Below are 18,011 nucleotides of genomic sequence, written 5' to 3' on the forward strand. Positions count from 1 at the left end.
CAGCAGGCTAATAATCCTGTTACAAAGAGAAATGCTGTACATTTCGAGCAGTGCTGGCCCCTGGGACTCACCGTGGCCTTTTCTAAGTGCTTACAGACTCTGTTTAATAATCCATTCCAGAAATTTTCCAGGGCTCATTGTTGAGCTTGGTGTTCGCAACTTTGAGTGATCAGCCCTTCTCCTTTGTGGGAGCACCAGGACAGAGCAGCCTTTGTCCCTCCCCAGTCTCAGTTCCCTCCCATTGCCCCTGTGGACCTCGAATGCAGAGCTTATGCACCTACTGAAGGTCGTGTCAGCACCCAAGGCAGAATGAGGCTGTCCTGGGAACTAGGGTAAATTAAAACAGCTTGTGCTGGAGGACCCTTTACAGCAGATGAAGGCCTCTCCCCAGCCAGAAAAGATGGAGCACACGCTGGGTGGTGGCCCCGCTTCCTCACTGAAAGGAGATGGTGCTCTTCTTTTTTCTTTCTGAATTGTGGCCACCTTCATACCAGTCTGTCATGGAACACTTAAGCCGCTTGAGTGCCTGCTGGTACTCCCAGCCCTGCCATGCCTGAGCCCCCTGCACACAAGGAGCCAGGAGTAATCAGGGCAGACCCATTAGGGCACGGGGACTTCTGGATTGTGAAATTGGCTCTCTGGGGGCCAAGGCCTTCTAACGTTGGTGGAAGTGGCTTTGGCTTATTGGGTCGGATTCTAGGCCATTCATTCCAACCTTTAGAGACATCCCAGCTTTCCCTAGCCCAGAGTCTGCAGCCCCTCCACCATCCCACATCCTCCCCCTCCCTTTCCTCATGAACCCCAGTCGCGCCTCTGCCTTCTCAAACCCCTCCACCATCCCACACCCTCCTCCTGCCCTTCCTCATGAACCCCAGTCGCGCCTCTGCCTTCTCATCCCTGCGCACCACACAGGCTCGCTCGTGCCCGGTGAGTGCTGAGGCTGCTCTGCACATGGAGTGTGGCCCTGTGGGCAAGGGCTGGGCTCTTGGAGGTAGGGGAGCTACAGGGGCGACTGGGAGGAGGATGTCGTGTTACACACGCATCAGAGTTAACTTTGCAGTGAGAGCGGCCTTGCTGCGGCCAAAGAACATGGAAAAGCATGAGTGGGGTGATGTGTGCCTTAAAGCATCAGACACTTGGGCCTCGGGCATCAGGAGCCAGCCACAGGGATGTCTGGGGAAATGGCGTTCCATGAGATGCAAGCACACAAGAATGCACTTGGCACATCTGGGGAACAGCAGGCAGCTGATATCACTGGGCCCACCCTGCACCAGGGAGGATGGAAGCAGGTGAGGAGCTAGACCACACTGAGGCGGTGGTCGGGACTCAGGGTTTGCTCAGTGAGCCGTTCACTATGTGCAGGGGCAGTTCCCCGTCTGAATTTAGGTGACGACACTCAGGTCCAGCCTTGCCAGTCTCAGCCTCCGGTCTCCGTTCCCCCTCTGCAGAGGCCACTTTGTCTGCTGCACGTGATCATGAGGGGCTGTGAAGTGCTTGCCCCATCAGTAGCCATGTGTGCATGTGTAAATACCATCCTCTGTGTGCCCTGGAGGCTGTCCTTCAGATAGCATGTACAGGTGGCAGCATAGGGCCTGTCCCTACTGAGAGTGCAGGGAACTCAGCACCGTCAACTCCTCGACCCTGCAGGTCAGATTATCCTTGTAGAGGCCCCCTGGATGGCACCAAGATCGGCCCTGGCAAGCAGGTGACCCTGACTTCAGAGCCCTTGCCTGAGGGCCTGGCCTGGCAGCTCTGCTGTTAGAAGCAGGAGGTGTGCAGGGGGTGGGGAGCAGCCCAGCCTCTGTGATCTTCTCCATGGCAGGATCTCCCAGCAGGTAGAGCAGAGCCGGAGCCAGGTGCAGGCCATTGGAGAGAAGGTCTCCTTGGCCCAGGCCAAGATTGAGAAGATCAAGGGCAGCAAGAAGGCCATCAAGGTAGTCCCCATGCCCCTGTGTCCTGAGGCTACTGGGCAGTCCCTCCATTTCCCCGTGCCTCTGAGGCTGCCCAGTCTCTGCCCTGCTGCCCACCTGTACCTTGGGCTTTCTTCTCGCCCAGGCTCCCAACTCCACCCTCTTCCTGCCAAGCAATCCTAGCCCTCTGAGCCTCTTGGGGCCCCCTCAGACTTGTCCCTGTGTCCACAGGTGTTCTCCAGTGCCAAGTACCCTGCTCCAGAGCGCCTGCAGGAATATGGCTCCATCTTCACGGGCGCCCAGGACCCTGGCCTGCAGAGACGCCCCCGCCACAGGATCCAGAGCAAGCACCGCCCCCTGGACGAGCGGGCCCTGCAGGTCTGCTGGCTGCGCACATAACTTAGCCTGTCACACACCAGGAGGACTGGATGCTGGGGAGGAGCCGGGGCCACCATAGGGTTCTGTCCCCCAGAGGAGGCTGACTGGGATGGGGTGGCAGCTGATTAGGCCCAGCACCAAATATTCACCATCCCTTGGCCATCCTGGCCCTCCCAGGAGAAGCTGAAGGACTTTCCTGTGTGCGTGAGCACCAAGCCGGAGCCCGAGGACGATGCAGAAGAGGGACTTGGGGGTCTTCCCAGCAACATCAGCTCTGTCAGCTCCTTGCTGCTCTTCAACACCACCTAGAACCTGTATGGCCAGAAGGCAGGGCCGAGGGGTGTGGGCGGGAGGCCCGGCCTGGCTTAGTGGGGACCCAGGGCATCAGACACAGGTACAGCACATGGGCCAGGAGCCAGGGGGTGACTGGGGTGGCTCGGCTCGGGAGGCTTGGGACCCCAAGTGCACGCTGTGCCCCTGATGATGTGGGAGAGGAACATGGGCTCAGGACAGCGGGTGTCAGCTTGCCTGACCCCCATGTCACCTCTGTAGGTACAAGAAGTATGTCTTCCTGGACCCCCTGGCTGGTGCTGTAACAAAGACCCATGTGATGCTGGGGGCAGAGACAGAGGAGAAGCTGTTTGATGCCCCCTTGTCCATCAGCAAGAGAGAGCAGCTGGAACAGCAGGTGGGAGGGGTGGGACAGAGGTGGAGACAGGTGCAGTGGCCCAGGGCCTTGCCAGAGCTCCTCTCCAGTCAAGGCTGTTGGGCCCCTTATTCCACCCATGGGAGGTGCACACAAGGTCTTGTTGGCTGCCCCTGCAGGTCCCTGTCACCTCTCACATGTCCCTGCCTAATCTTGCAGGTCCCTGAGAACTACTTCTATGTGCCAGACCTGGGCCAGGTGCCTGAGATTGATGTTCCATCCTACCTGCCTGACCTGCCCGGCATTGCCAACGACCTCATGTACATTGCCGACCTGGGCCCCGGCATTGCCCCCTCTGCCCCTGGCACCATTCCAGAACTGCCCACCTTCCACACTGAGGTAGCCGAGCCTCTCAAGGTAGGTGAGCTGGGTTCTGGGATGGGAGCTGGGCCGGGGACCTCCCTGCTCACACACCTTCTTCCCTAGACACCCCACACTTTGTGTTTCAGACCTACAAGATGGGGTACTAACACCACCCCCACCGCCCCCACCACCACCCCCAGCTCCTGAGGTGCTGGCCAGTGCACCCCCACTCCCACCCTCAACCGCGGCCCCTGTAGGCCAAGGCGCCAGGCAGGACGACAGCAGCAGCAGCGCGTCTCCTTCAGGTGGGAGCAGCTCTTTGAGGCCACCTGATTTCTGGCGTGCTCAGTGCACTCGGGTGGATTTTCTGTGGGTTTGTTAAGTGGTCAGAAATTCTCAATTTTTTGAATAGTTTCCATTTCAAATATCTTGTTCTACTTGGTTCATAAAATAGTGGCTTTCAAACTGTAGAGCTCTGGACTTCTCACTTCTAGGGCAGAGGGAGCCTGAACAAGTGAGGCTCTGGGTTCCTCATTCCTAATTAAACCAATGGAAAGAAGGGGTCTAATAACAAACTACAGCAACACATTTTTCATTTCAGCTTCACTGCTGTATCTCCCAGTGTAACCCTAGCATCCAGAAGTGGCACAAAACCCCTCTGCTGGCTCATGTGTGCAACTGAGACTGTCAGAGCATGGCTAGCTCAGGGGTCCAGCTCTGCAGGGTGGGGGCTAGAGAGGAAGCAGGGAGTATCTGCACACAGGATGCCCGCGCTCAGGTGGTTGCGGAAGTCAGTGCCCAGGCCCCACACAGTCTTCAAAGGTCTGGCCTCCCCAGCGTGGGGCTCCTCGTTTGAGGGGAGGTGACTTCCCTCCCAGCAGGCTCTTGGACACAGTAAGCTTCCCCAGCCCTGCCTGAGCAGCCTTTCCTCCTTGCCCTGTTCCCCACCTCCCGGCTCCAGTCCAGGGAGCTCCCAGGGAAGTGGTCGACCCCTCCGGTGGCCGGGCCACTCTGCTAGAGTCCATCCGCCAAGCTGGGGGCATCGGCAAGGCCAAGCTGCGCAGCATGAAGGAGCGAAAGCTGGAGAAGAAGAAGCAGAAGGAGCAGGAGCAAGGTGAGCGGGCCCTGGAGCCTGCGGTCGGAGGGCCTTGGGCAAGATCGCCTCCTCCCCTCCAGCCCTGAGTCCACCGGGTGCTTTCTGCCCAACCCCTGCTCTTGCCAGCTGGCCCCTGCTTCCCCTAGGGCACATGCTGGAAGCCCTGGGCTGCCACCAGAGGTCCTCAGCCCTCCTGCCTGGGCTATGGCTCCTTCCTGGTTTGGGAGCCATAGTGGAGCTTTCCTCTCTAAGCTCACCCAGCTCAAACTGTGACAGGAGAATCTTCTTCGACTGCCAAGAGCGGTCCAAGGCAATGGTCAGCCACTGCAGCCTCCTGAGATATTTTTAGAGACTGGACCTGAGGCCTCTGGAGGCTACTGATGATGCCTGCTGTGAACGCAGACACTGGTGTGATGCGATGCCTGCGCCTGCAGCGGCAGTGCCCTGGGCACTATGGTTTTGAGCTTGTACCCAGCGCTGCTTTTGCCTTGCTCTGTGACCCCAGGCAAGCTGCCTCACCTCTCTGGGCCAGTTTCCCCATCGTACAGTGGTGCTGCACACCCTGGCCCTGTCCCCGAGGTGGCTGGGAGGTGGCTCCTCAAACAGCCGCTTTCTCATCAGTGCCCAGTGCTGGGTCAGGGATCGACTGAGGCTCTGAGCTAACTGGGAAACACAGTGGCCTTGGAGGGCTGGGGAGTGTCATGGGGGTGGGGACAGGGAGCCACCGGTCGCATGTGACTGAACTCTTCACCCCAGTCTGTGACTTTCCCGTTGCAGTGAGAGCCACGAGCCAAGGTGGGCACTTGATGTCGGATCTCTTCAACAAGCTGGTCATGAGGCGCAAGGGTAGGAGGCAGGGCCGCTGCCCGCCCTGGGCCGGCACATTGTAATTCTGTCCTGCCTTTTTCTTCCTGTATTTAAGTCTCCGGGGGCTGGGGGAACCAGGGTTTCCCACCAACCACCCTCACTCAGCCTTTTCCCTCCAGGCATCTCTGGGAAAGGACCTGGGGCTGGTGAGGGGCCCGGAGGAGCCTTTGCCCGTGTGTCAGACTCCATCCCTCCTCTGCCGCCACCGCAGCAGCCACAGGCAGAGGAGGACGAGGATGACTGGGAATCCTAGGGGGCTCCATGACACCTTCCCCCCCAGACCCAGACTTGGGCCGTTGCTCTGACATGGACACAGCCAGGACAAGCTGCTCAGACCTGCTTCCCTGGGAGGGGGTGACGGAACCAGCACTGTGTGGAGACCAGCTTCAAGGAGCGGAAGGCTGGCTTGAGGCCACACAGCTGGGGCGGGGACTTCTGTCTGCCTGTACTTCATGGGGGGACGGCTCCACCCAGCCTGCGCCACTGTGTTCTTCTCTTAAGAGGCTTCCAGAGAAAACGGCACACCAATCAATAAAGAACTGAGCAGAAACCAACAGTGTGCTTTTAATAAAGGACCTCTAGCTGTGCAGGATGCAAACGTCTCGGGGTCAGTGACTGCCTCCTGCCCCTGTTGGTCCCTAGGCAGTGGGGGCAGAAGCTCCCAGCTGACCTGTTTCTCTGGGATGAGAGGGAGGAGAGAAGGGCAGTTAGCAGGGGCAGCTGTTGCAGATGGGAGGAATAGTCTCCCACAAAAAAGGTTTCAGTGACAGACACGGGGTCTCTAAAAATAGTCATGCTGAGAGCCTAATGGCCCTTGGCACAATTGCTGGTGTTGGGGTAGAAGATGTCTTGGAGTTTGCTCAAGTGGTTGAGAGGGAGGGAGGTGCCATCGACTTGGAGGAACTGGCACCAAGCCAGGGAGATAGACATCCAGGCAAGGCTGTGGGGCAGGTTAGGGAGCAAGGCTGCAGGAGTGACTCAGGAAGAAGGTGGGGGAGGTGACAAGCCCCCAGGCAGGGGCCCTGTGGCCATGGGGATCTTTTTAAATTGAGACTAGGGGGTGAATAGTCCAGGGCAGCTAACTTTAGTTATTATAGAAAGGGCAGTAGCAGATGGGTCTGCTCCGTCTCGCTTCTAAGAAGGTGGGCAGGACAAATGGCAGCCTCCTGCAGAGGCCTAGTGAGAAGCCTGGCCCTCGGCCACACAGGATGGAAGACAGATTGGGTTCCACAGAGGGGAGCTGCCCTGGGAAGATCTCACGGATGGCCAGGACCCACCATTTCTTTGGGATTCCCGTTTTCTCCAACGGGCACTAATGCCTGTGCCTGGGTCCTGGCAACACTCTGGACTCCACACTCTCCTGGGTTTCACCTTTGTAGCAGGATCCCTGCAGACCAGGCCCATGACAAACACCGTCTCCAGCGGGCAGAGCAAAGGAAGGGCACAGCGCCAGGCAGTGGTGCAGCTGCCTGTCAGGATGAGGCCTACTTCTAGTGAAACTGGGCAGACAAAAGGCAGTGAGAAATGTGATCTCGGGGTGGTGGAGGCTCTAGGGAAAGGAAAAGGCAGGAGTGAACTTCCACACAGCAGCAATGGCAGAACCAAAGGTGGCTTTGACCTCCACGAGGGCTCAGATCCAGGCCAACAGCTTGTCCAGGACAGGGTGCCGGGTGTATCACTGGTCCAGGAGCACTATGCTGGCAGAATCCCTTTGGTGCCTGATGGCCCTGCCTTCGTGGGAACAGAGGCTAAGGCTTTGAGTTACAGCTGCCTCCCCAACAGTGCATCCCCTTCTCCCTCCTCAGCCTCAGGTAGGAGACAGGGCAGGCAACCCCCTTTCCTCTTCTCCCCTTCTCCAGCCCCTGTCTGTCCACCCAGCTGGAGGCAGCCAGGCTTGCCTATGGACTGGTTGACAGCCTTCATGCAGAGGTTCTCCACCAGAGCCTTTCTTGGGGGCCCCTGGCCTGGGCTCTGAGCTGGGAGTGAAGGGGATGACCCATGCGGACTGTTTGCTGCTTGTAGCTTTCCCTGGGAAAGACTCTGCCAGGCCTTGGAGCCAGACCAGGAGGCTTTATAAGGCCACCGCAAGCAGCAGGGCTCCAGATGACATCACAGGGAAGATCAAGAGGGTGTGGAGGGGCATCGAAGCCTCTCCAGGAGACAGGAGACGCTGGTCCAGTAGAGCCCTAGGGGCGACGCCACTCCCACTCACTGTCTACTCTCCTCTCACCTCTGCAACACTGGGGACACTCACAAGAGTGTGATCCAAGTCGGCCGTCGTCTTCTGCAGCTCTGGAGACCTGATGCTAGGGAAGGGCATGCCTGGCATCACCACACACCTGGGGGGAGACAGGAGCCTGGGGCCGGTGGGCCCACACATCACCAGCTGCTCCGTTCTACCATTTCTTCAGCCCTCTTGGCTGTGCCTGCAGCTCTGCCCCTCCCCTCTCTGCACCTACCACCCAGAGAGGGCTTGTTGAGCTCAGAGATCCCACCTAGGCCAATCCACTGGGTTCTGCGGCAGCGATGGCCTGCCTGATCTTCCACCTGCTCTCCCAGGGCCAAAGCCAGACCTGCTGAGCCCCTCCCTCCAGCCGGCTGGTCTGAGCAGTCACAGCCCGGCTTTGGGCTCCGATGGCAGCAGACGGCAGGTAGGGGTCCAGCTGCTGGAGCGAGGGCCGGCCACCTATCACAGCCAAGGAGATGAGCACAAGCACTACTTACTGGCCTAGGTTGTCAGAGAAGTTGATGCTCTCACTCATCTTTCCTCCAATCTTTCCCCTATGCCTGGTTGTGGTATTAAGTTACATGCAGACAACAGGGGCCAGAAGATGAACAATGGCCCATCCCACTCTAGGCATGGCTCCTCTCCACAGGAAAACTCCACTCCAGTGCTCAGCTTGCACCCTGGCACAGGCCAGCAGTTGCTGGAAGTCAGACACCTGCAGATCAAGACCACAGCATCAAGACCCTGTGACCTCTCAAAGGACCGGTGGAAAGGACACGGGAAGTCTGGGCTAAGAGACAGCAAATACACATGAACAGAAAGAAGAGGTCAAAGAAAAGGCTGACGGCAAGTTAACAAAAAGAAAAATGGTGAATGATACCCGGTGCTGGCAATCTCGTTTAAACTACATGCAGGAACAGCAAAGGAAATCCGGCAATTTGCGCAGTCATTCTCAACACCGGCCATGCAGCAAAATCATCAGTGGAAATTTAAAAAAATACACATGGCCAGGCCCCAGCCCAAATCACTAATAAGAATCTCCAGGGCTTCACCTGTTAGACTGGCAAAAATCCAAAAGTAAACACTTTGTGGAGAAACAGGCATTCCTAGACATTGCCGGTGGGATACAGAACAGTACAATTCTGATGGTAATCAGTTAACAAATTAAACATATTTATTTTATACTTTTAAACCCAGGAATCCCATATTTAGGAGTCTACTGAGACCAAACAGCATATGCTCCGGGTGTTTCCCTATAATCCGCCACTACTGTTGGAGCAAGAGGGCCCGGCAGTGTCCCCAGCTGCCAGCAGGCGGGCGTGCTGCCACTACACCTTGAGCAAGAGGACCCTGCAATGTCCCTAGCTGCCAGCAGGCGGCGTGCCACCACTATACAGTAAGCAAGAGGGCCCTGCAGTGCCCCGGCGCCAGCAGGGGGCGCTGGCGACCACTGTAAGCAAGAGAGCCCTGCGCCTCTCTGCGCCGGCGCCGGCGCGGCGCGCCTCTCTGCGCCGGCGCGGCGCGGGGTGCCTTTGCGACGGCGGAGTTGCGTTCTCCTCAGCACAGACCCGGAGAGCACCGCGAGGGCGGACCTGCGTTGTCCTCTGCACAGATTTCAGTGGTACTGCGAAGGCGGAGCAGAGTTCTCCTCAGGTCAGACCCGGGCGGGCGGGCGGGCTGAGGATACCGCGAGGGCGGAGCTGCGTTCTGCTCAGCACAGACCTGGGGGTCACCGTAAAGGTGGAGCAGCATTCCCCTAAGCACAGAGGTTGGGGCCACTGCCTGGCTTTGTGACAACTCGGGGCGCATCAACGGTGAATAAAATCTTTCCCGGTTGCAGCCGTGAATAATCAAGGTTAGAGACCAGTTAGAGCGGTTCAGTGCGGAAAACGGGAAAGAAAAAGCCCCTCTGAATCCTGGGCAGCGAGATTCTCCCAAAGCAAGGCGAGGGGCTGCATTGCAGGGTGAGGGTGAGGGTTAGGGTTTGGGTTGGGTTTGGGGTTGGGGTTGGGGTAGGGGTGGGGTTGGGGTTGGGGTTGGGGTTAGGGGTAGGGGTAGGGGTAGGGGTAGGGTCAGGGTCAGGGTCAGGGTTAGGGTTTTAGGGTTAGGATTTTAGGGTTAGGGTAAGGGTTAAGGGTTGGGGTTGGGGTTAGGGTTAGGGGTTAGGGTTGGGGTTGGGGTTGGGGTTGGGGTTGGGGTTGGGGTTAGGGTTAGCTAAACCTAACCCTAACCCCTAACCCCAACCCCAACCCCAACCCTACCCCTACCCCTACCCCTAACCCCAACCCCCACCCTTAACCCTTAACCCTTACCCTAACCCTAACCCAAACCCTAACCCTACCCTAACCCTAACCCAACCCTAACCCTAACCCTACCCTAACCCTAACACCCTAAAACCGTGACCCTGACCTTGACCCTGACCCTTAACCCTTAACCCTAACCATAACCCTAAACCCTAACCCTAAACCCTAACCCTAAACCCTAACCCTAACACTACCCTACCCTAACCCCAACCCCTAACCCCTAACCCTAACCCTACCCCTAACCCCAACCCCAGCCCCAACCCTTACCCTAACCCTACCCTAACCCTTAACCCTAACCCCTAACCCTAACCCCTAACCCTAACCCTACCCCAACCCCAAACCCAACCCTAACCCAACCCTAACCCCTAACCCTAACCCCTACCCTAACCCCTAGCCCTAGCCCTAGCCCTAACCCTAACCCTCGCCCTAACCCTCACCCTAACCCTCACCCTCACCCTAACCCAACGTCTGTGCTGAGAAGAATGCTGCTCCGCCTTTAAGGTGCCCCCCAGGTCTGTGCTGAACAGAACGCAGCTCCGCCGTCGCAGTGCCCTCAGCCCGCCCGCCCGGGTCTGACCTGAGAAGAACTCTGCTCCGCCTTCGCAATAGCCCCGAAGTCTGTGCAGAGGAGAACGCAGCTCCGCCCTCGCGATGCTCTCCGGCTGTGTGCTAAAGAGAACGCAACTCCGCCCTCGCAAAGGCGGCGCGCCGGCGGAGGCGCGGAGAGGCGCAGGCGCGCCGAGGCGCAGGCGCGGAGAGGCGCAGGCGCGCCGAGGCGCAGGCGCGGAGAGGCGCGGCGCTCTTGGGGAGACGCGGCGCAGGGCATAGACGTACGCCGGCGCCTCCCCGGAGGGGAGGGGTCGCTGGGCGGGCGGGAGTGAGGCGCGGCGCCGGCGCAGAGACGCACGTCGCTGGGCTGAGGGTGGCGGGGAGTGTTGCAGTCGTACATTCGCGCGCCGCCGGGCGGGGAGCGCGGGGGTGGCGCGGTGCAGGCGCAGAGACACACGTACCCGGCGGCGCAGAGACGAGTGGAACCTGAGTAATCTGAAAAGCCCGTTTCGGGCGCCCGCTGCTTGCAGCCGGGCACTACAGGACCAGCTTGCCCACGGTGCTCTGCCATTGCGCCCCCTACTGGCGACTAGGACAACTACAGGGCCCTCTTGCTTACAGTGCTGTCCAGCGCCCCCTGCTGGCGCCGGGGCACGGCAGGGCTCTCTTGCTCGCAGTATAGTGGTGGCATGCCGCCTGCTGGCAGCTAGGAACATTGCAGGGCCCTCTTCCTCACATTGTAGTGGCAGCACACCCGCCTGCTGGCAGCTGGGCACACTGCCGGGCCCTCTTGCTCGCATTGTCGTGGCTGCACGCCACATGCAGGCACATGGGGACTACGCAGGGCCCTCTTGCTCCCGGTGTGACGGCTGGCGTCCCATATTGGCCACCTCCTGCACCACTTAAAGTCAGAGCGCCAGTTATTAATCCCCATCAGTTCTGTAAATTAAAACTGAAAAGGAGCTATTACTGCGGAGAGCTGATGTCCCAGTTATTAACTTGGAAGACAGCTTTTCACCAAGAGGCAGTACAAAGATGGAAGATAACTTCATTGAAAAGAAATACAGTGTAAAGAGCTTATTGTACAAAAATAGGGAGGAGTAGGCTGATACTGCATGAAAACAGCCTAAGAGTCCTGTGCAGGGATTTTTATTTTGGACTTCTTCACATTCCTACCTCTGTCTCAAGTCTCCGCCTGTTTTCTTTGGTTTTCCTGCTACTGCCTTAGGTCCCCGACTTGCCCCACTTAGCCTTGTGGGACCTCCTCACTTGATTGAGGTACATGTGTGGTGATCAATCCGAATCCACTCTGGCACCAGCCTCCTTCCCACCATACCAGGCAGGCTGACAGCGGTCACGTTTGTATCTACTGCAGCTGCCTCTTTTGAATGTCTTTCTCTGCCTTAATCTGTACTTATGGTGCCAGGTTTCTCTTAAGAATGTCCCCTTTGTCCTTCTTATCAGCATGTAGCTAGCAATATTCTGACATTTTTATTGCAGAATGAATGATGATTGGGGCTTCTTTTTTTTTTTTTTTTTTGAGACGGAGTCTCACTCTGTCACCCAGGCCAGACTGCGGACTGCAGTGGCGCAATCTCGGCTCACTGCAAGCTCCGCTTCCCGGGTTCACGCCATTCTCCTGCCTCAGCCTCCCGAGTAGCTGGGACTACAGGCGCCCGCCACCGCGCCAGCTAATTTTTTGTATTTTTAGTAGAGACGGGGTTTCACCTTGTTAGCCAGGATGGTCTCGATCTCCTGACCTCATGATCCACCCGCCTCGGCCTCCCACAGTGCTGGGATTACAGGCGTGAGCCACCGCGCCCATCCGATTGGGGCATCTTAAGAGAAGTTCTAGGGTGTTTCTGCGTAGGTACCTCTTCTCCCTCCTAACCACAATTGACAAGTGCCCATCCACTCCAGCACTAGAGATGCTACTAATATGTGCATTTTTGGTGGTCCCTCCAGGTGAGCCTTCACAGACTTTCCCTTTTCCAGGAGCTCCCCCTCCTGTTCATGTCTAGCTAGCTATCTACTCTAACAGAGCCCACTATCCTGTGTCTTTCCCAAAAATAGTGAGGGAATGATTAATTGGAAACCATAAGAAATGATATGCATGTAGATGAAAACTTTACAACTTACACAAATAATCACTCAAAATCATCCTTACACTAAAAATGCAAAACTATACAATTTCTAGAAGAAACTATAGAGGAAAAGCTATGTGCCTTTGCGTTTCGTAATGAATTTTAACAAATGACACAGAAGGTTGATATACACAGAAGAAATGACAATGTGGATTTCTTAATATTTACAGTTTATACTCTGGAAGAGACCTTGTTAAGAGAACAAAAAGACAAGCCACATGTTGAAGAAAATATTTGCAAAATACAGATCTGAGAATTTGTATTCAAAATATATAAAAAATTGTTAAAACTAAACAATAAGTTAAACAACCCAATTAAAAATGCACACAGATCTGAACAGACACTTCACCAAAGAAGATCTACAGATGGCAAGTACACTTACAAAAAGATGCTCAACATACTAGAGAACTGAAAACCACAAAAAGATAGCACAGCTGGTCTATATCTCTTAGAACTGCTAAGCTCTTTAACAAATGACAAATTGCTGGAGGAAAACCAAGAACTCTTTTCATTGCCAGTGGAACACAGTGTATAAGACCAAACTATGCCACCCCGAAATATAATGGTAGGAAACCAGAATATGCAACCCCAAAATATGTCCCTTTGGCTTAAGAATTATTCCAAGCTAATTATTTTGAAAAAAAATGCTAACAAAGGAAGTTGTGAAAATAGAGAAGTTACTTGTGTAAGGAAAATTTACATCTATAAAGGAAATCACCATTTAAAAGCTACCTCTCTCGACGCCAAGAAGAGAAGGATAACTAAATCACTGAAGAGTCTTATCAATGGAGAATGCGTGGACTTAAGTCTGTATAACGCACCTTACCCTTGTCTAATGTGCTTTTGCTGGTTAGCTCCCCACTACTGCACCTCAAATCTTCTTTCTTTAAGTTGAAGATAGTATTTATGCTTGAATTGAAAGCCACCTGTTGGAGATTTACTCATTTTTCCCTGAGTATCTCCCATGTAACCATAAGATATACATGTTTTTAAACTTTTCTGTTTTTCTCATTTTAATCTGTCAGTTTTTACAGAGCGTTCCATCTAAGAATTCCAAAAACAGAAAATTATTTTTCCTCCCCTATTACAAGTTGTGCATTTTTTTCCAAAGCTAAACAAGTCTCACCTTACAATCCAAAAATAACATTCCTAAGTATTTTGACAACTACTTTGATGTTATTTCCCATCAAAAGCTACCATGCAGTTATTTACAGAAGCCCTATTCATAATGACCAAAGGAAAAAAAAGGAATCAGAAAGTCTTACAATAGATGACTGTGTGGGAATCCACTCAGACATCAAAAGTTGTTATAAAGATTATTTAAATGAAAACATTTGAGATACTGAAGATGAAGAAATCTTACCAGAACTTACTTTATCCAATTAAAGCAGAGCTCCCAGAAAAATACAGCTGCCATTAACCCCATCCAAGGAGTTTCTTGCAAATTCAGCTGCCATGAAGACAGCGTACTCTTTCGCATTAGCATTGATAAATGAAAATGAAATTCTAAGCTCCCAACTGACTGAACAGACCCACTCTTGGCTGAGGGGACCCCAGAGTAACTTTCAAAACTGAGTTCTCAGCTTTGCTAGGATGGGATGATGGGGTTAAGATACACATCGTTATACCCCCTCCTTTGCTAACCATGATGAGGCTTTCTTCCCTAAGGATTTAACAGAAACCAGCCCTTTCAAAGCCTCCACCACTGATATCAACCTCTCCTTTCTTGCCTGATAAGAGACCACCCACGATGGAGAGGTTCTGGCCAGCGTACAGAGGATGCACAGAGCGAGTTTTCATGTCCTCTGCTTCACCTTTTAATGTCAGAGGGCTGAAAACTCCACCCTGGGATCATGCTAACACTGCCATTTTTTGTACATGGGACCCATGAAGAAGCAAGAAACTCAATTGTGCGTGCATGCATTTCTCCTTCCATAAATATTCATGACTCCTCCTAGAGCTTATTAAATAAATCTATTTGGCCATTCCACTCAGCATAAATTGCTATTTCCTTTACCTCCTCCTTGAAGCGTCTGTTTCTGGCTTCTGGCTGGAGGCTATGCTTCCCAGCCTGTCAGAAGGACAACCCTGCAGGCTACAACCCTTTATAGATAATAAATCTCTCACTGGGTGGGTGGCTCATGCCTGTAATCCCAGCACTTTGGGAGGCCGAGGTGGGTGGATCACCTGAGGTCAGGAGTTTCAGACCAGCCTGGCCAACATGATGAAACCCTGTCGCTACCAAAACTGCAAAAAATTAGCCAGGTGTGGTGGTGGGCATCTGTAATCCCAGCTAATCAGGAGGCTGAGGCAGGAGAATCGCTTGAACCCAGGAGGCGGAGGTTGCAGTGAACCAAGATCATGCCATTGCACTCCAGCCTGGGCAACAAGAGTGAAACTCTGTCTCAAAAAAAAATAAAAATAAGCATAGAAATGAAGAAATGTCTCCTTTCCAAATTTATGAACCTCATCATTTTTCCGTTGACAGCATTAAAAGGTTCAAAAAGACCTTTCCATACTCTCCCACAGAAGCCCTAGAAATTGTCATTTTGTTAATCATTCTGGATGCCTGAGAACTTGTAATCCAATGAGTAGAAAGTTTGGTACCCCATTTATGGCTGTCAACCTGCCAGTTCTCAGGAGTTTGTATAAGCCTAAATCTGAAAGGATCTCATCCCATTAGGACCCTTGTCTCCTTTTCTGTTGCCTTTGCCCACTGGCTATGGCAACAGGGGTCTTTCTTTCTCCTTGGCTATCTTTGGATATGGGGGCTCCGTCTTCTGTGCCACCTTAGGGAATGCCTTTTGCAGGCATGGCTAAGTCATTAAAAAGCCTACAGTTTCAGTAACATTTTGAGTGAGCACTCTCTGAAGCTGCGTTGGAATCTCAGGCTTCTTTGTCTGGAAGATAACTCTTGGGCTACAAGTTTCTTATCCTAGCTTTGGTTTTGAGGCCTCTCTGTTCTCCTCTTGGGTTGGAAGTTATTCCTGGCTTTTTGTTTCAAGGGGTCTCTGTGATCTTGATCTTGCTGCTTTCATGGGAACTTCTCAGTTCACTGAATTCTCCCTTCTCAAACCTCTGCTGACTATGTGTTCCACCAATATGGAACTAATTCTACTTCTTTTCCTGTTTGCATGACTTTACTAAGAATTATTTACAACTTTAATGGCTCCTTTGAGAAAATTTTTATCTTCCAAATTGCCTCCTTTTAGACCTTTCCTTTCCCAGTTGAGTCTCTCAACTCCCTATAATCACTGAAACTTCAGGCACCCCACTCCATGCCTTGGAGGCTCTCAATGTGCTCAAGAATCTGCAAAAGCAAACACCTGGGGCTGAAGAATAAAATAGAAAAAAAATTATTTCTCAGCCTCCATAAGATTCTATGTCAAAAAAAAGAAAATCTTTAAAATCTCCAAAAATATTGGTGAGAAAAAAGCCTTAGCCCTCATATGAAGAAGAAAAAACTTGTTCCATTTTCCAGATACATAGTTATAATACAAATATAAAATGGGGCAAAGACAAAAACCAAGTCTTCTATATAAACTAGTGAATTTTGTAGTTATTGTAATCACATTAGTCAGGGGTCTCCAGAAAGGCAGAATCAATAGGATATATGTAGACAGATGAGAGAAGATTCATTAGGGGAACTGGTTCACATAATTATGGAGGCTGAGAAGTTCCACAATAGCCTGTCTCCAAGTTGGAGAACCAGGAAAGCTGGTAGCATGGCTCACTCCAGATACAAAGGACTCAGAATCAGGGAAGCCAATGGTGTAACTCTGATTGTGAGGCCAAAGGTCTGAGACCCTGAAGTTCTGATGTCAAGGGCAGGAGAAGAAGGATGTTTCCATTTCAGAAGGAGATAATTCACCTTTCCTCTTCCTTGTTATTCTATCTGGGCTCTCAACCAATTGGATGCTGCCTGTATTCATCCATTTTTATACAGCTATGAAGAAATACCTGAGTCTGAGCAATTTATAAAGAACAAAGGGGTTTAATGGGCTGACAGTTCCACATGGCTGCAGGGGCCTCACAATCATGGCAGAAGGGGAAGCAAAGCTATCCCTCTTCACATGGCAGCAACAAGAAGTGCTGAGCCAAAGGGGAAAAGCCCCTTATAAAACCATCAGATCATGAGAACTCACTCACTGTCATGAGAACATCATGGCAGTAACCACCACCACGATTCAGTCACCTCCCATTGGGTCCCTCCCACGACATGTAGGTATTACAGGAACTACAATTCAAGATGAGATCTGGGTGGGGACACAGCCAAACCATATCAGTGCCCATCCACATTGGGTCATGGTTATCTCAGTGTCTTCCAGAAACGCCCTCATAGATATGCCCAGAAATCGTGTTTGACCAGCTGTGTGTGTCTCTCAATCCAGTCAAGTAGACGTCTACAATTAACCATCAGAATATTTATGCCTGATTCATGGCTGAAATCGTGTTTGACCAGCTATGTGTGTCTCTCAATCCAGTCAAGTAGACGTCTACAATTAACCATCAGAATATTTATGCCTGATTCATGGCTGAAATCGTGTTTGACCAGCTATGTGTGTCTTTCAATCCAGTCAAGTAGATGTCTACAATTAACCATCAGAATATTTATGCCTGATTCATGGCTGAAATCGTGTTTGACCAGCTATGTGTGTCTTTCAATCCAGTCAAGTAGATGTCTACAATTAACCATCAGAATATTTATGCCTGATTCATGGCTGAAATCGTGTTTGACCAGCTATGTGTGTCTCTCAATCCAATCAAGTAGATGCCTAAAGTTAACCGTCAGAATATTTATGCCTGATTCATGGCTGAAATCGTGTTTGACCAGCTATGTGTGTCTCTCAATCCAGTCAAGTAGATGTCTAAAGTTAACCATCAGAATATTTATGCCTGATTCATGGCTGAAATCGTGTTTGACCAGCTATGTGTGTCTCTCAATCCAATCAAGTAGATGCCTAAAGTTAACCGTCAGAATATTTATGCCTGATTCATGGCTGAAATCGTGTTTGACCAGCTATGTGTGTCTCTCAATCCAGTCAAGTAGATGTCTAAAATTAACCGTCAGAATATTTATGCCTGATTCATGGCTGAAATTGTGTTTGACCAGCTATGTGTGTCTCTCAATCCACTCAAGTAGATGTCTAAAATTAACCATCAGAATATTTATGCCTGATTCATGGCTGAAATCGTGTTTGACCAGCTATGTGTGTCTCTCAATCCGATCAAGTAGATGTCTAAAATTAACCGTCAAAATATTTATGCCTGATTCATGGCTGAAATTGTGTTTGACCAGCTATGTGTGTCTCTTAATCCACTCAAGTAGATGTCTAAAATTAACCATCAGAATATTTATGGCTGATTCATGGCTGAAATCATGTTTGACCAGCTATGTGTGTCTCTTAATCCAGTCAAGTAGATGTCTAAAATTAACCATCAGAATATTTATGCCTGATTCATGGCTGAAATCGTGTTTGACCACTATGTGTGTCTCTCAATCCGATCAAGTAGATGTCTGAAATTAA

General features: G+C 52.3%; 1 protein-coding gene and 2 pseudogenes across 4 annotated transcripts in view, besides 2 other annotated features; 2 read left to right on the forward strand and 1 right to left on the reverse strand.

Annotated features, from left to right (window-relative positions):
• Positions 1–5,810, forward strand: part of WASH2P (WASP family homolog 2, pseudogene) — a 15,385-nt pseudogene extending 9,575 nt beyond the window's left edge. Inside the window, exons 3-11 of the transcript NR_024077.2 lie at positions 1,836–1,934; positions 2,142–2,288; positions 2,466–2,602; positions 2,841–2,976; positions 3,154–3,351; positions 3,444–3,602; positions 4,259–4,411; positions 5,171–5,239; positions 5,380–5,810. The product of NR_024077.2 is annotated as a WASP family homolog 2, pseudogene (transcript). The remainder of the gene's footprint in view (positions 1–1,835; positions 1,935–2,141; positions 2,289–2,465; positions 2,603–2,840; positions 2,977–3,153; positions 3,352–3,443; positions 3,603–4,258; positions 4,412–5,170; positions 5,240–5,379) is intronic.
• Positions 3,703–4,687: an enhancer, noted in NCBI's record as "H3K4me1 hESC enhancer chr2:114354507-114355491 (GRCh37/hg19 assembly coordinates)". NCBI's record gives its function as "activates a minimal SCP1, AML or CMV promoter by ChIP-STARR-seq in naive H9 embryonic stem cells {active_cell/tissue: H9 hESC(naive)}" and the evidence as "EXISTENCE:reporter gene assay evidence [ECO:0000049][PMID:30033119]".
• Positions 5,801–10,490, reverse strand: DDX11L2 (DEAD/H-box helicase 11 like 2 (pseudogene); annotated as a pseudogene). 2 transcript variants are annotated; one of them, NR_024004.2, is made up of 3 exons: positions 10,368–10,490; positions 7,985–8,202; positions 5,801–7,617 (listed from the first exon to the last, which is right to left on the reverse strand). The product of NR_024004.2 is annotated as a DEAD/H-box helicase 11 like 2 (pseudogene), transcript variant 1 (transcript). The 2 variants fall into 2 exon arrangements; NR_024005.3 differs by lacking the exon at positions 10,368–10,490 and having other exon boundaries at positions 5,801–6,987; positions 7,491–7,599; positions 7,985–8,349.
• On the forward strand, positions 7,593–18,005 carry LOC124907874 (uncharacterized). Its single transcript, XM_047446749.1, has 3 exons — positions 7,593–8,053; positions 16,208–16,214; positions 16,835–18,005. Exons 1-3 carry the CDS (start codon positions 8,044–8,046, stop codon positions 18,003–18,005), a joined length of 1,188 nt encoding a protein of 395 aa, XP_047302705.1. The 5' UTR covers positions 7,593–8,043.
• Positions 10,514–10,723: a silencer, noted in NCBI's record as "silent region_11884". NCBI's record gives its function as "represses an Ori minimal core promoter by ATAC-STARR-seq in GM12878 lymphoblastoid cells {active_cell/tissue: GM12878}" and the evidence as "EXISTENCE:reporter gene assay evidence [ECO:0000049][PMID:35858748]".
• Positions 18,006–18,011: the final 6 nt, after the last annotated feature.

The sequence above is a fragment of the Homo sapiens genome, chromosome 2 (genome assembly GCF_000001405.40).
Source record: "Homo sapiens chromosome 2, GRCh38.p14 Primary Assembly".
Classification (NCBI taxonomy): domain Eukaryota; kingdom Metazoa; phylum Chordata; class Mammalia; order Primates; family Hominidae; genus Homo; species Homo sapiens.